This window comes from Homo sapiens, chromosome 22 (genome assembly GCF_000001405.40).
Source record: "Homo sapiens chromosome 22, GRCh38.p14 Primary Assembly".
Lineage (NCBI taxonomy): Eukaryota > Metazoa > Chordata > Mammalia > Primates > Hominidae > Homo > Homo sapiens.
Window position 1 is genome coordinate 39,437,980 of NC_000022.11, and position 16,183 is coordinate 39,454,162.

General features: G+C 53.7%; 7 annotated features.

Annotated features, from left to right (window-relative positions):
* Positions 8,986-9,035: an enhancer, noted in NCBI's record as "active region_19047". NCBI's record gives its function as "activates an Ori minimal core promoter by ATAC-STARR-seq in GM12878 lymphoblastoid cells {active_cell/tissue: GM12878}" and the evidence as "EXISTENCE:reporter gene assay evidence [ECO:0000049][PMID:35858748]".
* Positions 9,266-9,455: an enhancer, noted in NCBI's record as "active region_19048". NCBI's record gives its function as "activates an Ori minimal core promoter by ATAC-STARR-seq in GM12878 lymphoblastoid cells {active_cell/tissue: GM12878}" and the evidence as "EXISTENCE:reporter gene assay evidence [ECO:0000049][PMID:35858748]".
* Positions 9,680-9,871: a silencer, noted in NCBI's record as "fragment chr22:39843664-39843855 (GRCh37/hg19 assembly coordinates)". NCBI's record gives its function as "represses an EF-1alpha promoter that drives an FKBP-Casp9 reporter gene in an ReSE screen in K562 erythroleukemia cells {active_cell/tissue: K562}" and the evidence as "EXISTENCE:reporter gene assay evidence [ECO:0000049][PMID:32094911]".
* Positions 10,181-11,089: an enhancer, noted in NCBI's record as "H3K27ac-H3K4me1 hESC enhancer chr22:39844165-39845073 (GRCh37/hg19 assembly coordinates)". NCBI's record gives its function as "activates a minimal SCP1, AML or CMV promoter by ChIP-STARR-seq in naive H9 embryonic stem cells {active_cell/tissue: H9 hESC(naive)}" and the evidence as "EXISTENCE:reporter gene assay evidence [ECO:0000049][PMID:30033119]".
* Positions 10,716-10,765: an enhancer, noted in NCBI's record as "active region_19049". NCBI's record gives its function as "activates an Ori minimal core promoter by ATAC-STARR-seq in GM12878 lymphoblastoid cells {active_cell/tissue: GM12878}" and the evidence as "EXISTENCE:reporter gene assay evidence [ECO:0000049][PMID:35858748]".
* Positions 11,852-11,981: an enhancer, noted in NCBI's record as "active region_19050". NCBI's record gives its function as "activates an Ori minimal core promoter by ATAC-STARR-seq in GM12878 lymphoblastoid cells {active_cell/tissue: GM12878}" and the evidence as "EXISTENCE:reporter gene assay evidence [ECO:0000049][PMID:35858748]".
* Positions 14,589-15,137: a transcriptional cis regulatory region, noted in NCBI's record as "candidate enhancer chr22.2018 targeted for multiplex CRISPR interference". NCBI's record gives its function as "positively regulates expression of the SYNGR1 gene with high confidence and the MGAT3 gene with lower confidence in K562 cells {active_cell/tissue: K562}" and the evidence as "EXISTENCE:mutant phenotype evidence [ECO:0000015][PMID:30612741]".

The following is a 16,183-nucleotide window of genomic DNA, read 5'->3' on the forward strand; positions in this document are numbered from 1 at the left end:
CATTCGTCCACTTTCCCTCCCTTCTCAAACCCCCTTAAAACAACAGGGAGGGATTTCTCCCTCCCTCTGCTCCCGCCATCCATCCCTCCCTCCCTTCCTTCTTCGTTCCCTCCATTCCTCCTTCCCCCTTCCCTCCCTCCTCACTCCCTCCCTTCCTCCCTTCCCCCTTCCCTCCCTTCCTTCCTCCTTCCCTCCATCCCTTCCTCCTTTCCTCCCTCCCTTCCCACTCCCTCCTTCCTTCCCTTCTCCCTCCCTCCCTTCCTCCTTCCTTCCCTCCCTTCTCCCTCCCTCCCTCCCTTCTTTCCTCCTTCTTTCCCTCCCTCCTTCCCTCCCTCTCCCCTCCTCCCTCCCTCCCTTCCTTCCTTCCAGGTATAAACCCACAAGGTTGTAGCAATCAGGAGACAACATCCACACAGGTTTTGAAGCTGAAAAGTCGATGTAGAGTGGCAACTGACTTAAGGGACACAGAAGTTACATCCCAGGTGTGTGATGGCAGCTGAATACCAGTGTGGTTTACCCTGAAGAACCACCGAAAGCTCAGCGTGAGCCAGCAGTCCCAGGTGGGGGCAAAATGAGGCGCAGTCAGGTCCCCCGGTCTCCCACCCAGAATGGCCAGGCAGTCCCGTCCTCCGCTCACCAGAGTCCACCCAGAGATAGCGGCACTGCCACAGCACTGGAAGCAGAGCAGTCGGGTGCTTCTGGGCACTGGGACCCCATTTGCCCTGCCCAGCTCCCAGCACACAGCCCAGTCTTCACCCTCCAGCAGGACACTGAGGCTCCTCGCTGGAGAATCTGACGCACAACAAAGTCCTGAAAATACTGACATGGGGGGTCCCTAACAAGTACCCCCCACCTCCCTTCAGTGAAATCAAGAGTCTGTGTATCTAGAACTTACTTTCTTTTTTTTTGTTTTTGTTTTTGAGATTGGGTCTCGCTCTGTTGCCCAGGCTAGAGCGTAGTGATTCAATCTTGGCTCACTGCAACCTCCGCCTCCCAGATTCAAGTGATTCTCCTGCCTCAGCCTCCCGAGTAGCTGGGATTACAGCCACCACCACACCCAGCTAATTTTTGTATTTTACTAGAGACGAGGTTTCACCATGTTGGCCAGACTGGTCTTGAACTCCTGACCTCAATTGATCCACCCGCCTTGGCCTCCCAACCCACCTCAGCTTCCCAAAGTGCTGGGATTACAAGCATGAGCCACCATGCCCAGCTGTATCTAGAACTTTTGATAAGCAAAGTGAATGTTAAAAGATAGAAGGAACCAGCCATTACCATATGAGCCAGCAATTCCACTCCCAGGAAACACAAACATACAGAAACAGTACGGAAGTGTTCACGGCAGCATTACTCATCATAGCCGAATGTCACAAGCAACCTAGATATCCATCCGAAGAGGAGAAGCAGACTGTGCTGCCTCCACGCCACGGAATAGTATTCAGCCGTGAAAAGGAATGACACTGACAGGCCACCACAAGGAAGAGCCTCAAAATCACTGTGCTAATGAGAGAAGCTGGTCACAAGAGGTCACATGTATGATTCCTCCTACAGATGCCGGTGATAGGCAAATCCATAGAGACAGAAAGCAGGGCTGGGGGAAGGAGGAAACTGCAGAGACTGGTAACAGAGCCAGCGTGTTTTTCTGGGGTGAGGTGTTGGTGAATGCATTGAGTGCCACTGACCTGCAGTTTTCAAGCGGTTAATTGTATGCTATGTGAATTTCACCCCAGTGAAATTGAGGAACCAGCCCAAGGCTTCCTCTGCTTGGAAGGAAGAACTCTAGGTGGCTCCTCTGGACTCACAAAGCACCTGAATTGGTCCTCTAGGATGAAGAGTCCAGAGAGAGAGTGTGAGCCTCACGTGCCGTTGTATTATTTCATTTCATTCCACCTTATTTTATTTTATTTTTAAGACAGAGTCTCACTCTGTCACCCAGGCTGGAGTGCAGTGGTGTGATCACTACTCACTGCAGCCTCCACCTCCTAGACTAAAACGATCCTCCCACTGCAGCCTCCCAAATAGCTGGGACCACAGGCATGCAGCACCACACCCGGCTAATTTTTTGTATTTTTCAGTACAGTCGGGGTGTTGCCATGTTCCGCCTGCCTCCCAAAGTGCTGGGATTACAGGCATGAGCCACTGCTCCTGGCCCATGTGCCATTTTATTTATTTATTTACTTAGAGATGGAATTTCGCTCTTGTTGCCCAGGCTGGAGTGCAATGGCATGATCTCGGCTCACTGCAACCTCCGCCTCCCAGGTTCAAGCGATTCTCCTGCCTCAGTCTCCCTAGTAGCTGGGATTACAGGTGCCCGCCACCACGCCCAGCTAATTTTTTGTATTTTTAGTAGAGACGGGGTTTCACTATCGTGGCCAGGTTGGTCTCCAACTCCTGACCTCAGGCGATCCACCCACCTCAGCCTCCCAAAGTGCTGGGATTACAGGCATGAGCCACTGCTCCTGGCCCATATGCCATTTTAGATGTTCTAATAATCACATTTGAAAAAGTAAAAAGGGGCAGGTGGATCGCTTGAGTCCAGGAGTTTGAGACCAGCCTGAGCAACATGGTGAAACTTCGTCTCTACTGAAAAATACACAAAAATTAGCCAGAGGTGGTGGCACACATCTGTGGTCCCAGCTACTCAGGAGGCTGAGGTGGGAGGATCATCTGAGCCTGGGAAGTCGAGGCTGCAGTGGGCCATGATCATGCCACTGCACTCCAGCCTGAGCGACGGGGGTAAAACCTTTTCTCAAAATCCAGCTGTATTTTACCCGTACAGAATAATTCTGTGCAGGCCAGCATGATCTGGGCTTCATGGCTATGGCTCGAGGTCACACCAATGGATGGTCCAGTTCTAGACTGTTTCAGACTGGAGGCTCTGTATACTCTGAAGAGGATGAGAGTTTTAAATTATAGTGCATTTTAAGTCTATGAATTAAAAACAAATAGGCAGCTGGGTGTGGTGGCTCACACCTGTAATCCCAGCACTGGGAGGCTGAGGTTGGTGGATCACCTGACGTCGGGAATTTGAGACCAGCCTGGCCAACAGGGTGAAACCCCATCTCTACTTAAAATACAAAAAAATTACTCAAAAAAAAAAAATTAGCTGGGTGTGATGGTGGGTGTCTGTAATCCCAGCTACCTGGGAGGCTGAGGCAGGAGAATTCGCTTGAACCCGGGAGGCAGAGGTTGCTGTGAGCCGAGGTCATGCCATTGCACTCCAGCCTGAGCAACAAGAGCAAGATTCCATCTCAAAAAACAAACAAACAAAAAAACCCAAATAGGCTATAATCCTCTTTAGGATCATCTGAATAACCACCTTAAAAATTAGTCTTGAGCAACCATAAAAAAGAATGAGATCACGTCATTTGCAGGGACATGGATGCAGCTGGAGGCCGTTCTCCTTAGCAAACTAACACAGGAATAGAAAACCAAATACTGCATGTTCTCATAAATGGAAGCTAAATGATGAGGACACACAAACACACAGAGGGGAACAACACACTGGGACCTTTCAGAAGGTGGAGGGTGGGAGGAAGGAGAGGATCAGGAAAAATAACTAATGGGTACTAGGCTGAGTGATGAATTAATCTTCACAACAAACCCCGATGACACACACTGACCTATGTAACAAACCTGCACATGTACCCATCAACTTAAAAGTTTAAGCTGGGCTCAGTGCCTCACAACTATAATCCCAGCATTTTGGGAGGCTGAGGCGGGTAGATTGCTTGAATCCAGGAGTTTGAGACCAGCTTGGCTCAGATGGCAAAACCCCATCTCAGGCCAGGCGCATGGCTCACGCCTGTAATCCCAGCACTTTGGGAGGCCGAAGTGGGCAGATCACGAGGTCAGGAGTTCAAGACCAGCCTAGGCAACATAGTGAAACCCCGTTTCTACTAAAAATACAAAAATTAGCCGGGCGTGGTGGTGGGTGCCTGTAGGCCCAGCTACTCGAGAGGCTGAGACAGGAGAATCACCTAAACCCAGGAGGCGGAGGTTGCAGTGAGCCGAAATCATGCCACTGCACTCCAGCCTGGGCAACAGAGCGAGACTCCATCTCAAAAAAAAAAAAAAAAAAAAGTGGGGGCGAGGCTGGGCACAGTGGCTCACGCCTGTAATCCCAGCACTTTGGGAGGCCAAGGCGGGCGGATCACCTGAGGTCAGGAGTTCGAAACCAGCCTGGCCAACATGGTGAAACCCCATCTCTACTGAAAAAAACAAAAAACAAAAATACAAAAATTAGCCGGGTATGGGTGTGCGCCTGAAATCCCGGCTACTTGGGGGGCTGAGGCAGAAGAATCACTTGAACCCGGCAGGTGGAGGTTTCAGTGAGCTGAAATTGTGCCACTGCACTCCAGCCTGGGCGACAGAGCGAGACTCTGTCTAAAAAATCCCCCAAAAAACCGTCTCTACCCAAAACACAAAAAAATTAGCCATGTGTGGTGGCACGTGCCTATGGTCCTAGCTACTCTGGAGGCTGAGGTGGGAGGATCACTTGAGCCCAGGAGGTGGAGATTTCAGTGAGCCAAGATCATGCCACTGCACTCCAGCCTGCGGAACAGAGCGAGACCCTGTCTCAAAAAAAAAAAAAAAAAAAAAAAAGATTAAACATTAGTTCTGAATTAAACATTGAATTACCATACGACTCAGTAATTCCACTTCTGTGTATACACCCAGAAGAACTGAAAGCAAAGTCTCAGATGCTCGTGTGGCAATGTTGGTAGCAATATTGTATACATCAGCCAAAAGGTGGAGGCAACTCATCAATGGATGAGATGTCCATGGATAAACAAAATGCGTTCTATCCATACAATGAAATATTATTCAGCCTTAAAAAAAAAAGAAATTCTGACACATGCTACAATGTAGATGAATCTTAAGCACATTATGCTAAGTAAAATGAGGCAGTCACAAAAGGACAAATACTATACGGTCTCACTCAGACGAGGCACTTATGGTAGTCAAATTCAGAGACAGAAAGTAGAATGGGATTGACAGATGCTGGGGGGCAGGGGAATGGGGAGTTAATATTTAATGGGTGCAGAGTTTCAGTTTTGCAAGATGAAAATCCTGCTGGGCCAGGCTGGCTTGGTGGCTCACGCCTGTAATCCCAGTGCTTTGGAAAGCCAAGGTGAGTGGATCACCTGAGGTCAGGAGTTCCAGACCAGTCTGGCCAACATGGCAAAACCCTGTCTCTACTAAAAATACAAAAATTAGTCGGGCATGGTGGCTTACACCTGTAATCTGAGCTACTCAGGTGGCTGAGGCACAAGAATCGTTTGAACCCGGGAGGCAGAGGTTGCAGCGAGCCGAGATCATGCCACTGCACTCCACCCTGGGCGACAGAGCGAGACTCTGTCTCAAAAAAAAAGCATTCTGGAGATGGACGGTGGTGATGGTACCATACAAGGTGAATGTACCTAATGCCACCACACTGTGTGCTAAAAACTGGTTAAAGTGGTAAATTTTGTGTTACGTAGATTTTACCACATTTTTCTTTTTTAAAGTTTGGCTACCCAGTGGATTTGTGCTGACCAGGGCATTGAGACTTCATAGTCACTGGAGCTAATGAGAAAAGATGCGGGGAGACTTTGGCCAGGTGTCGTCCAGGCACTGCCTCAGCCAGGCCTCCCAGGCTGGGTAGGCGTGAACAGAGGATCCTGCAGGGAGGAGCAAGGCCTTGCTTGGCCTCCACACTGGTCAAAGCCACCCGGCCCCAGAGAATCAGCCCCTCATTGGGCACCTCGATTGCTGACTGCCCTGTCTGTGGTGAGAGCCAGCAAGATTTCTTCCTGTTGTTAATTTGATTTTTTATTGGCTCTATGTTTTTTTATATTCATTTTGCAAATTTGCTTTGGTTTGGTTTTGTTTTTTGAAACAGAGTCTCACTCTGTTGCCCTGGCTGGAGTGCAGTGGCACGATTCAGGCTCACTGCAACCTTTGTCTCCTAGGTTCAAGCGATTCTCATGCCCCAGCCTCCTGAGTACCTGGGATTACAGGCGCCCGCCACCAAGGCAGGCTAATTTTTGTATTTTTTAGTAGAGACAAGGTTTCGCCTTGTTAGCCAGGCTGATCTGGAACTCCTGGCCTCAAGTGATCCTCCCGCCTTGGCCTCCCAAAGTGCTGGGATCACAGGCATGAGCCACCGTTCCCAGCATTGCTTTGTTTTTAATGTTGGAGGCAAACATAAACACAAGAGCTTTACACCTAGCTCGGTGTCTGCGCATATTTAAGAAACACTGTGATAAAAATGACTGACGACAACCCCAGAATCCATGAGAATTTTTTTCTTTCTAAGAGCATTAGGATTTGAGTCATGCCATGGTTTGGCTTCTGAATCTGTCTCCCTTGGAGCAGGGTCATCTCTGTGTCTCCGTGGGGACATAGGGCCAGTCTTGAAATTGTTTCCTGAGTGAGTAATGAAGTGAGTGAATGAATGAATGAAGAGCTAGCAGAAGGAGAAATCACTGGGGGGCAGGGTGCAGAAGCAGCAGGAGAATCAGGGAAGTCTTCCAGGAAGAGGCCCAGGCATCCTGGGCCCAGAAGTGGGATCAAGAGTTTGAGGAATAGGAGATGGGGTGGGGATGGGCGTATCTCAGGGTGAGGCACGAGTCCGGGCCTGAAGGGTGCTGAGGGCCTCTGCCTAGTGATGTCACGCCTGGAACCCAGCCTCTGAGCCCAGCTGTCGGGGCGGGCAGTCTAGGGGCAGCCTTCCCCATCAGACCTCTGGGAGTCAGCCCCACAACTCCCTCCCCATGCCACATCCCAGACAACACCTGGTCCTGCAGGTCTCATCTCCTCTTTCCAGCCTCCCATCTCCACCCCAGCCACCATTACCTCCCCTGTTTCCCAGCGCCTCTGCCAGCTCTCCCCACTGCCAGTCTGGCCCCATCTGATCCATCTCAGACCAGCGACATCCAATCATTCCTCCAGCGAATATGCATCGAGCACTTAGTGTGCGCTCAGCTCTGATTGGGAACCAAAGAAAGGCCCTGCCCAGTGGAGAGACAGACAACAAACAAGGAAACCTAAGCGCGTCCTCTGACAGCCAGCAGCAACACGCGCCAGGGGGATAACAGGAGGAATCTGAGAAGGGATCCACGGGGCGCCTTCTCTGTGCCTTCAGGGCCATGGCTCCAGACCCTCTAGCCTTGTCAGGACTGCTGTGAGCTGTGAGTCTGGTCCTAGCCTGGCCAGCCTGGACCAGGCCACCAGCTCCACATGGCCATCACATTGCATGGCAGCACAGTGTGATCTTGGACGAGTCACTTTCCAGTTCTGAGCATCAGCTTGTCCACCTGTAGGATGAGCTTGGTGGCAAGAACACTGCAGGAATCACCAGGGCCCTGAATCCTCCTAGGAGCTGGAGGGTTGGCCCTGTGAGGAAGGAGTGACTTTCATCCCGACCTGATTTAGAAACAGTCTCTCTCCTGCCAGCTGCAGTCAGTGGGGGCTACGTCATACCCCTCATGAGACGGTGGAAGGCTCAAAAGTGATGTGGTTCATGCTGAGACATGGCCACAGTAAGTGTCCCCACAGCAGCAGCCCTTGTTAGAATCCTGCTGCTCCGTTCCCTGGAGACTTTGTCCAGCCGGGGAGGGTCTGCCTGGATTCAGCCGTCTCCAAGCCTCTAATAGTAGTGAAAACGGCTGGTGTTTCTCCGACACAGCCCCTGGGCCAGTGTCACAAGCACCACTCACAAGGCTCGCTCATCCTGCACCATCACTCCAGACCATGCTGGTGCTTTTACTGTCCCTCTTTGGGGGGATCCAAATCTAGGAAAGGCGATGTAACTCACCCAGACCTCCGGTGGGAGCAGGCCTTGTGCCTGGTCCGCCTGCCATGTCACTGTCTCTGCGGTGTTGGCTGGGGCGGCCCCCTGGCCTCCCTCCCAGGCCCAACGCCTGGCAGGGGTGGCTGGAACAGCTGGGGGAGGCGGCCCCTCTCTTCCCTGTGTGGTCCAGGGCCGCTCTCCCCCTGGATTTCCCTCCATAGCTGCTGACCTCCAAGCTGGAGGAAAAGGACATTGCAAGGCCACTTGAGGCCTAGCCTGGACATTTCCTCATCCTAGTGGGCAAAGCAAGTCACAGGCCTGCCCAGGTTGCAGGGAGGGGAAAATGGTGGACATGCTGCCAGGGCCGGGGAGGGAGGGGACCCTGCAGCCATCTTGGCAGACATCTCCCACCCAAGGACCCCAAGCCTCAGAGCCGTCCTTAACTGCTGGCAGCCTCCAGTGGGGCAGGGCAGCAGAGTGTATGGTGATCCCCATGCTTGCAGAAGAGGCCCAGGAGGCTCGAGGCCCAGCTGGGGGTGAGTAGAGGAGGATAAGCGGGCTCTGGACAGGCCCCAGCGTAACCAAAGGCCATTTCCTCCAGAGGCCCCGGCTCTGTCCCCGTCCCTGAGGGTGTTTTCCCGGGAATGAGCTGGGCCTGCTCCTCCTGCAGGTGATAACACTTGGCCCTGCCTGGGGTTTCCGAAAGGCGGAGGGCGCCACACAGCAGCCGCTCCCTGGCCCCGCCTCGGCCTCACAGACTCTGGAGTGCAGCAAATGTCCCCAGACAGTGATGTTCACTGAGGGTAGCAGGGGGGAAACCAGGGTGGATCTTTCCTCTCCTCCAACCCCTAGAGGCCTCGTGAACCTTTCAGTGGCCTCCCAGCACAGGTGCTGCCACTCATTAGCTGCCTGATCTTGGGAAAGTTAACTTCACTGCTTCATGCCTGTTTCCTTATCTGAAAAATGGGGAGAAAGGAAGGGCAGACACGATTGCTCTGTGCCAGGCCCCGTTCTAAGCACTTTGCATCTAGCAACTCATGCAAGCCTCCCAACAGCCCTGTCAGGCGGGGTCTGTTATGACATTCCTCACTTTACAGATGAGGAAATGAAGGCACAGAGAGGGCAAACAAGTTGCCTGAGGTCACACAGTGAGTCAGTGAATCTCGGAGTTGGGCCCAGGTAGCCCAGGTCTGTCTTGTTAGCTGCCATGCCCAACATCACGGCCTGGCGTGACAATGCAGGATGATGCCAGCCCGTGGTCAGTGATGTGGGTTTGCTTCTGTGGTTATCATCCCCGTGCTCTTTCCGGAGCCCGAACTGCACCTGCTCCGCTAGTGCCTGTGCTCCGCCTCCTATTCCTTCCCTTTTCTATACCATAGTGTGGCTGAGGTTGTTTTAAACCTGAATTTGTTTGAGCCCCTGAGCTTTCTAGTTGCAGTTCATTGCACTTCGCAGAGCAACTGGCAGGAAGTGTGTGTGGTGGCCAGAGCTCTCGCCGCAGATGCAGGCCGTGTTAACGGAGCGCAGGGCAGCCAAGGCAGGTGAGAGACCCTTTGTGTGCATCTATGCAAGTCAGGACATGTCGGGGGAGGGCAAATGGAGAGTAACTGGGATGGAAAGGTCTGGAAACCATGTCATAGGAGGAGGCGCTAAAGAACCTGGGAGGAGGCCGGGCGCGGTGGCTCACACCTGTAATCCCAGCACTTTGGGAGGCCAAGGCAGGCAGATAACGAGGTCAGGAGTTCAAGACCAGCCTGACCAATATGGTGAAACCCTGTCTCTACTAAAAATACAAAAAAAATTAGCTGGGTGTGGAGGCACATGCCTGTAGTCCCAGCTACTTGGGAGGCTGAGGAAGGAGAATCACTTGAATCCGAGAGGCAGAGGTTGCAGTGAGCCAAGTTCGAGCCACCACACTCCGGCCTAGGTGACAGAGTGAGACTCCGTCTCAAAAAAAAAAAAAAAAAAAAAAAAACCTGGGAGGAGAAGTGGTGGAGGGACCCTTGCCAAATGTCTGGAGGACCGCCGTGCCAATGAAGAAGCTGGCTTGCTCTGCCCAGTTCCAGGCAGCGGGTTCTAGGGTATCTAACAGCCAAAGTGGTCACATAATAGAGTGAGAGAGTGAGCGCCACATCACAGGACGTGTGTAAGCAGTGGCATGAGACTGGGGCCACAGGAGATGACCTTGAAGCCCCTCTCCTCACCCAGGTCACAGGTGTGAGGCCCAGTGGAACCATATTTGGCCAGTTCCCCAGCCTCAGAGCATGCTTGAGCTAAAGGTCAGTGGCTAAGCCTCCTACCGCCAGCAGGAGACCCTGTGGCCGATCCCAGATTTCCTGAGTGAATTTCTCTCTTCTTCCAGTTCTACTCGCTGGCCCAGGTCCAGCTGGACAGCCTGGACCCCTGAACAGGGCTTCCAGCAGCACCCTGGTTTATTTAAGTTTCAGGCCATCAAAAGGACCAGAGTAACCGCTGGCCCCTAGCTGGCCACCTGGGGTCTGTGGTTTTCGGGTTCCGACAATCACAAATAGACTGGATGTTCCCAAGGTCGCCTCCCAGGCCCAGCCCCTGCCCACCTTCCTGTGGCTTTGTGGCTGCCGAGTGATGACTCGGCCCAGGGGCCGTGAGGACAGAGGCTGAAACTCCCTGACAGGCCTGGGGACCTGAAGTTGCTGTAGGATGGACAGGCCAAGAGTCAGTGTGGCTGGGCCCACGCCCCCACCTCTGAGTTTCAAGGCCCCTTCACCAAGGCAGGTGCTGGGTGTGGAGGAGAGGAGGAGGGTGTGCTGGAGTCAGGAGAGGGGCTCTGCGTGGCCTGACACCACCCCTGTCTGGGCCTCGTGGTTCCCAGCCCTGCCTTCCCTTCGGTGACCCTGTGGAATGTCGTCCTGTGAGTTTGTGGGGAGTGCCTGGCAGGGCTTGTGCGTTCGGGGATGCACCCTGTGTATGCATGTGGGGCGTGTCTGTGTGAGAGTGCATGCATGTATGTGGCACTAGGGTGGGGAGCCTTCCAGTGGGTGCACACGCAGGCTGATGGGGACTTGCTCCGTGTGCACGGAGGGCCTGGGTCTCCATGTGCCAGGCCTGTGCACACAGGTGTGGACATGTCTGCTTCCCTCAAGGGCCCCGAACAAGGAGATGCCAGCTGGTGACACTGTTGTGGCTCAGTGTGTTCCCCTGAGGTCTCCAGCCTCCAAACCTCACTCTGCTAGGCCACCCTCCTAGGCTGGCCACAGGCTACAGTGGGTTCACCTGCTCAGCTTCACCAGGTCACTCAGTCTGACTCTCAGCATCTGTTGCATTCCTGCAGCTTAGAGCCATCCTTGGCTTGAACCCCCTTCTTCACAGCCACCCCCAACACTTTCTGGCTATGCCTAGCCCCTCCCTTAAGTGCACCAGGCACTCCTTTCTGCACCATCCCCGCTGCCCCTGTGTTCCCCCACCTCAGTCTGGATGCCATTCCGTCTTTTTTGGGTTTTTTTTTGAGACAAAGTCTCACTCTGTTGAGCAGACTGGAGTGTAATGGCGCGATCTGGGCTCACTGCTACCTCCGCCTCCCAGGTTCAAGCGATTCGCCTGCCTCAGCCTCCCAAGTAGCTGGGACTACAGGCGCCCGCCACCACGCCCACCTAATTTTTGTACTTTTAGTAGAGACGGGGTTCCTCTCTCTCTGTGGGGTTAGCCACTGTGGGAGACAGGACCCTCTGGGCAGGGAGCAGGGAGGGACATGGCTCCTGGTGGCTGGAGCACTGGCTCTGGAGTCCCAGACCTGGATCTGAGTCCTGACTCTGGCACTCAGCCATTGAGTGGGATTCATTTCTTCTTGCTGTGCCTCAGTTTCTTCACCTGGGGGCTGCCTGGGGAAGGCAGAGGGGCCTGCCGTCACAGTGGAGGCTAGAGATAGAGCAGCTACCCAAGTTTTCTTGGACCCCCCGACTCCCCCAAGTAATGGATGGATCCCTGTCTAATCCATTGCTCCTACTCGGCAAGTGTAGAAAGTAAGGCTTGTAGAGAGGAAGGGACTTGTTCAAGGCCACACAGGCCTAGAGGGCTTGACCAGCTAAGCGTGAGGTTTATGGTACAAAAAGCAGTGCACATTCTGGGCCACACCCATCCACATCCTGCAGCACCCCTGGCCCTCATGGGGCACTTCAGTGCTAATGTTCCTTTGCCTGGAAAGCTGTCACTTCTCTCCCTGGGCTCTCACCAGCCCTCATGCCCTACCGCCAGCGGTAGACACAGATGGGGCAACCCCCAAAATGCACACACAGAGGCCAGGGAGGGGTTGTCTGCAGTTTCCGTCCCTGCAACAGTACCGACTGGGCACCTACCATGTGCTAGGCTGAGCCAGATGCCGAGGAGACAGCAGCAGGAGACAGTGAGGAGACGGGCAAAATACACAAGAAATTTAATCAATGAGTCAATTACCTAGTATGCTGGAAAGAGAAATGTGCTATGGAAGAAAGAAGGGCAAGCAAAGGGACGGGGGGCTGCCCTGAGTTGTGGTGGTCCCAAAGACCCAGATCAGAGCCCAGGCTGGAAGTAGGAGGAGCTGTGGGTACCTGGGGCTGGAGCGTTCAGGCAGAGGGGACCGCCAGCACCAACGGAGCTAGTGTGCCAGTGGATGAGAGTAGAGGGGAGGAGGCCAGAGAGGTAACTGGCCGACAGGTCTCTGGCCTCCCTCTGAGTGGAGGCGGCAGCCACCGCACAATCTGCGCAGAGCAGGGAGGTGAGCTGACTTTGCCCACCAGTGGGGAGGCGGCTGCAAGAACACAGGCCAGGCAAGGGCAGTGGAAGGGGGAGGTGGAAGAGGTGCTCCTGGTGCCCACAGCCGTCTCTCCTGTGGGACAGGCCAGGATTTCCCACCCAGGGCCTGCTCCCTTTGAGAATCTGATAACAGCCATGGATGCTTCCCCCAAAACACGCATGTGCACGTGCACTCATATACACACACAGATGGGCAGGGGCACACACCCATGTACACATGCATGCACACATTTCTGCACATGTATACATGCACCCATGTTCACACACATGCACACGCTTCCACAGGTGTACATGCACCTGTGTTCACATGCATGCACACACTCACACATGCTCACAGTCACACACACCATGCTACTGGGAATTTTAGGAGATTGCTGGATCCCTTGACTCCCCCAAGTAATGGATCCCTATCTAATCCATTACCCCTACTCGGCAAGTGTAGAAAGTAAGGATGGTAGAGAAGGGACTTGTTCAATGCCACGCAAGCCTAGAGGGCTTGACCAGCAAGACTTGGCCCAGACACCCTACCTGGACCAGCAGGGGCCCCTCCCTTAGGGCCCTCTGTCCCCAGCACCAGCTAGGGGCTAGGGGAAACTTCTCTCATCCTAGTTGCCCAAGAGCTCACAGCAAGGCCAGGTGAGGAGCCCAGGATAGCAGACAGGAAGTGCTCAGGTCCCAAGAAAGGGAGTGAGAGGAGACTCTGGAGAGGTGGCATTTGAGCTGAGCTCTTTGGGCTGGGCTGGGAAGGGCACTCCAGGCAGAACCCAGTAGCAGTAAAGGCCTTGAGGTGAGAATTCTCCAAATGGAGGCAAGCAGGGCTCCTGGAAACCAGAAGCCCTTCAGGGGCCTTTGAGGGGAGGAGACACCTGGGCTGGGTCTTTAAGGATGAGTAGGAGTTTTTCCAAAAAGGCGTTTTGGGCAGAACACAGATATGCCAGGTACAGAGATTTTAAAAAGCCAGAGAACTGGCCAGGTGCGGTGGCTCACACCTGTAATCCCAGCACTTTGGGAGGCCGAGGCTGGTGGATCACAAGGTCAAGAGATCAAGACCGGCCAGGCACGGTGGCTCACACCTGTAATCCACACTTTGGGAGGCCAAGGCAGGCAGATCACGAGGTCAGGAGATCGAGACCATCCTGGCTAACCCGTTGAAACCCCGTCTCTACTAAAAATACAAAAAATTAGCCGGGTGTGGTGGCGGGCGCCTGTAGTCCCAGCTACTTGGGAGGCTGAGGCAGGAGAATGGTGTGAACCCGGGAGGCGGAGCTTGCAGTGAGCCGAGATTGTACCACTGCACTCCAGCCTGGGCAACAGAGTGACTCCGTCTCAAGAAAAAAAAAAAAAAAAAAGAGATCAAGACCATCCTGGCCAACTTGGTGAAACCCTGTCTCTACTAAAAATACAAAAAATTTGCTGGGCATTGTGGTGCACACGTGTCTTCCCACCTACTCGGGAGGCTGAGTCAGAAGAATCGCTTGAACCCGGGAGGCGGAGGTTGCAGTGAGCCAAGATCACACCATTGCACCCCAGCGTGGTGACAGAGTGAGACTCCGTCTCAAAAAAAAAAAAAAAAAAAAAAGGCAGAGAAATTGCAAGCATTTCAGAGGGCTGCCAGTGGATGGGACAAGCTCAGCTGAATGGAGTGTATGTGGGGGAGGGTAGAAAGGGGACAGATCTGACTTCACCTGGCCAGTGTTGGGGAAGGAAGTCGCCAACAGAAGAACAATGAGTTTCACAAATTTGGAAAGGAGAGCTTTATTTCTCATAAAGGGTTGCAGCCTGCAGGGCAGCCATTCTGACAGGCTGGGAAGCATAGCTTCCAGCCAGAAGCCAGGAACACATGCTTCAAGGGAGGGGCAAAGGGAACAGGAATTTATACAGAGCAGGGTGGCTGAATATACATATTTAATAAGCTATAGGGGGAGTCATGAATATTGATGTAAGGAGAAACAGGGACCTGTGCAATTAAGCTTCATGCCCCTTAGTGAGTCACACATGCAAAAAAATGGTGGCGTTAGTGTGATCGCAGGGTGTTTTTCAGCCCTCTGATGTCAAAAGGTGAAGCACAGGACCCTACTGTGTGCCAGGCCTCTGTGAATGCGGGAGGGGAAAAGAGTGACAGGGGCTATGTGGGAGGAAGGAATTGGGGGCTGTGTCCCCTTCTGGCCAGCTCTCAGGCAGGCTCCTGGCACCACAGGGCCTGAGCTGGGAGGGTAGAGGGTGGAGGGTGGGGCCTGGTGTGCCTGGCTGTGCCCGGCTGTGCCCAGGGCTGGCTGTGTGCGACTGAGCAAGTCACTTATCTCTGACGAACACCTTCACTGGGCGTCCACTTTAGACTGTCTGGACAATGGTTTCTTATCAGGAAGGGATGATGGTCAGTTATTGTGTCAAAACTGCAAAAGAGGGATAGCATCGGACAGCTGGTTGGTATCAGTGGTGAAGTCTTTCAAAAGGGCTGGTTTCTGGCTAGCCCTAACCGTCAGCAGGCTTTCTTCCCTAAGGAAGGGGTTCAGGAGGGGCTGTATCGAGGAGTGTCTGACCTCCCATTCTGTTGTAGCCAAGCACTCAGCTTTCAAGGTTTCTCTGGGGTTCCCTTGGCCAAGACGGGGGGCTGTTGGGGGGCTTGGGATTTCATTTTAATTTCTCAAAGGACCCTTTATCAAACACCTTCGGTGCTGCCCAGCACCACCTTGTCACACATCCCACCTCCCTCACCCTCCCCACACGCTGTCAGGTGGCCACCTTTATGCCCACTCTGCAGACCAATGGGCCTAGGCTTTGAGTGTGGAGCCCTGGCGCAGCTCGGAGGGCCCCGACCGGAGCCAGCTCACTCTGCCCACTGCACCGCCATGCTCCCTGACCACCTGGAGCCTTGGCAGGGCTGGGGCTTGATGGCTTGGTTCTCTCTTTCTTTCTTTCTTTCTTTTTCTTTTTCTTTTTTGATAGGGTCTCACTCTGTTGCTCAGGCTGGAGTGTAGCGGTGCGGTCCTAGCTCGCTGCAACCTCCACCTCCCGAGTTCAAGGGATTCTTGTGCCTCAGCCTTCCCAGTAGCTGGGACTACAGGCATGTGCTACCACGGCCGGCTAATTTTTGTATTTTTAGTAGAGATGGGGTTTCACCATGTTGGCCAAGCTGGTCTCAAACTCCTGGCCTCAAGTAATCCGCCTACCTTGGCCTCTCAAAGTGCTGGGATTACAGGCGTGAGCCATTGCGCCTGGCCTGTGGCTTGGTTTTCATGGCATGGGTGAGGAGCCTCCCCACCTGGAGACCCAGGGCCAGGAGTGAGATGCCCCAGGGAGGTGGAATGCGGCTCCCACAGGCCAGGCAGCAGCTGCTGAAAGGGTAACAGACCTAGCAATTGTTCCCAGAGCCAAAAAGGCCTGGGTGAAAGGGGACAGCAGGGCTGTAAGGAGACACCGCCTGAGATTGGCTAATCTTGTATCTGGGCTTTTCCCACCTCCAGCTCCCACAGCCTCCTTGTCAGGCAGCTCAGCCCCTAGAGGAGCAGTGGGGCAAGAGGGCCACCAACCACCCTCCCCCATATCACCATGGAGCTTGGAGCCCCAGCCTCCCCCACGTCATCGTGGGGCCTGGAGGACGGCTGGGAGAGGATGGAGAGAACCAGATTCCATTGATGT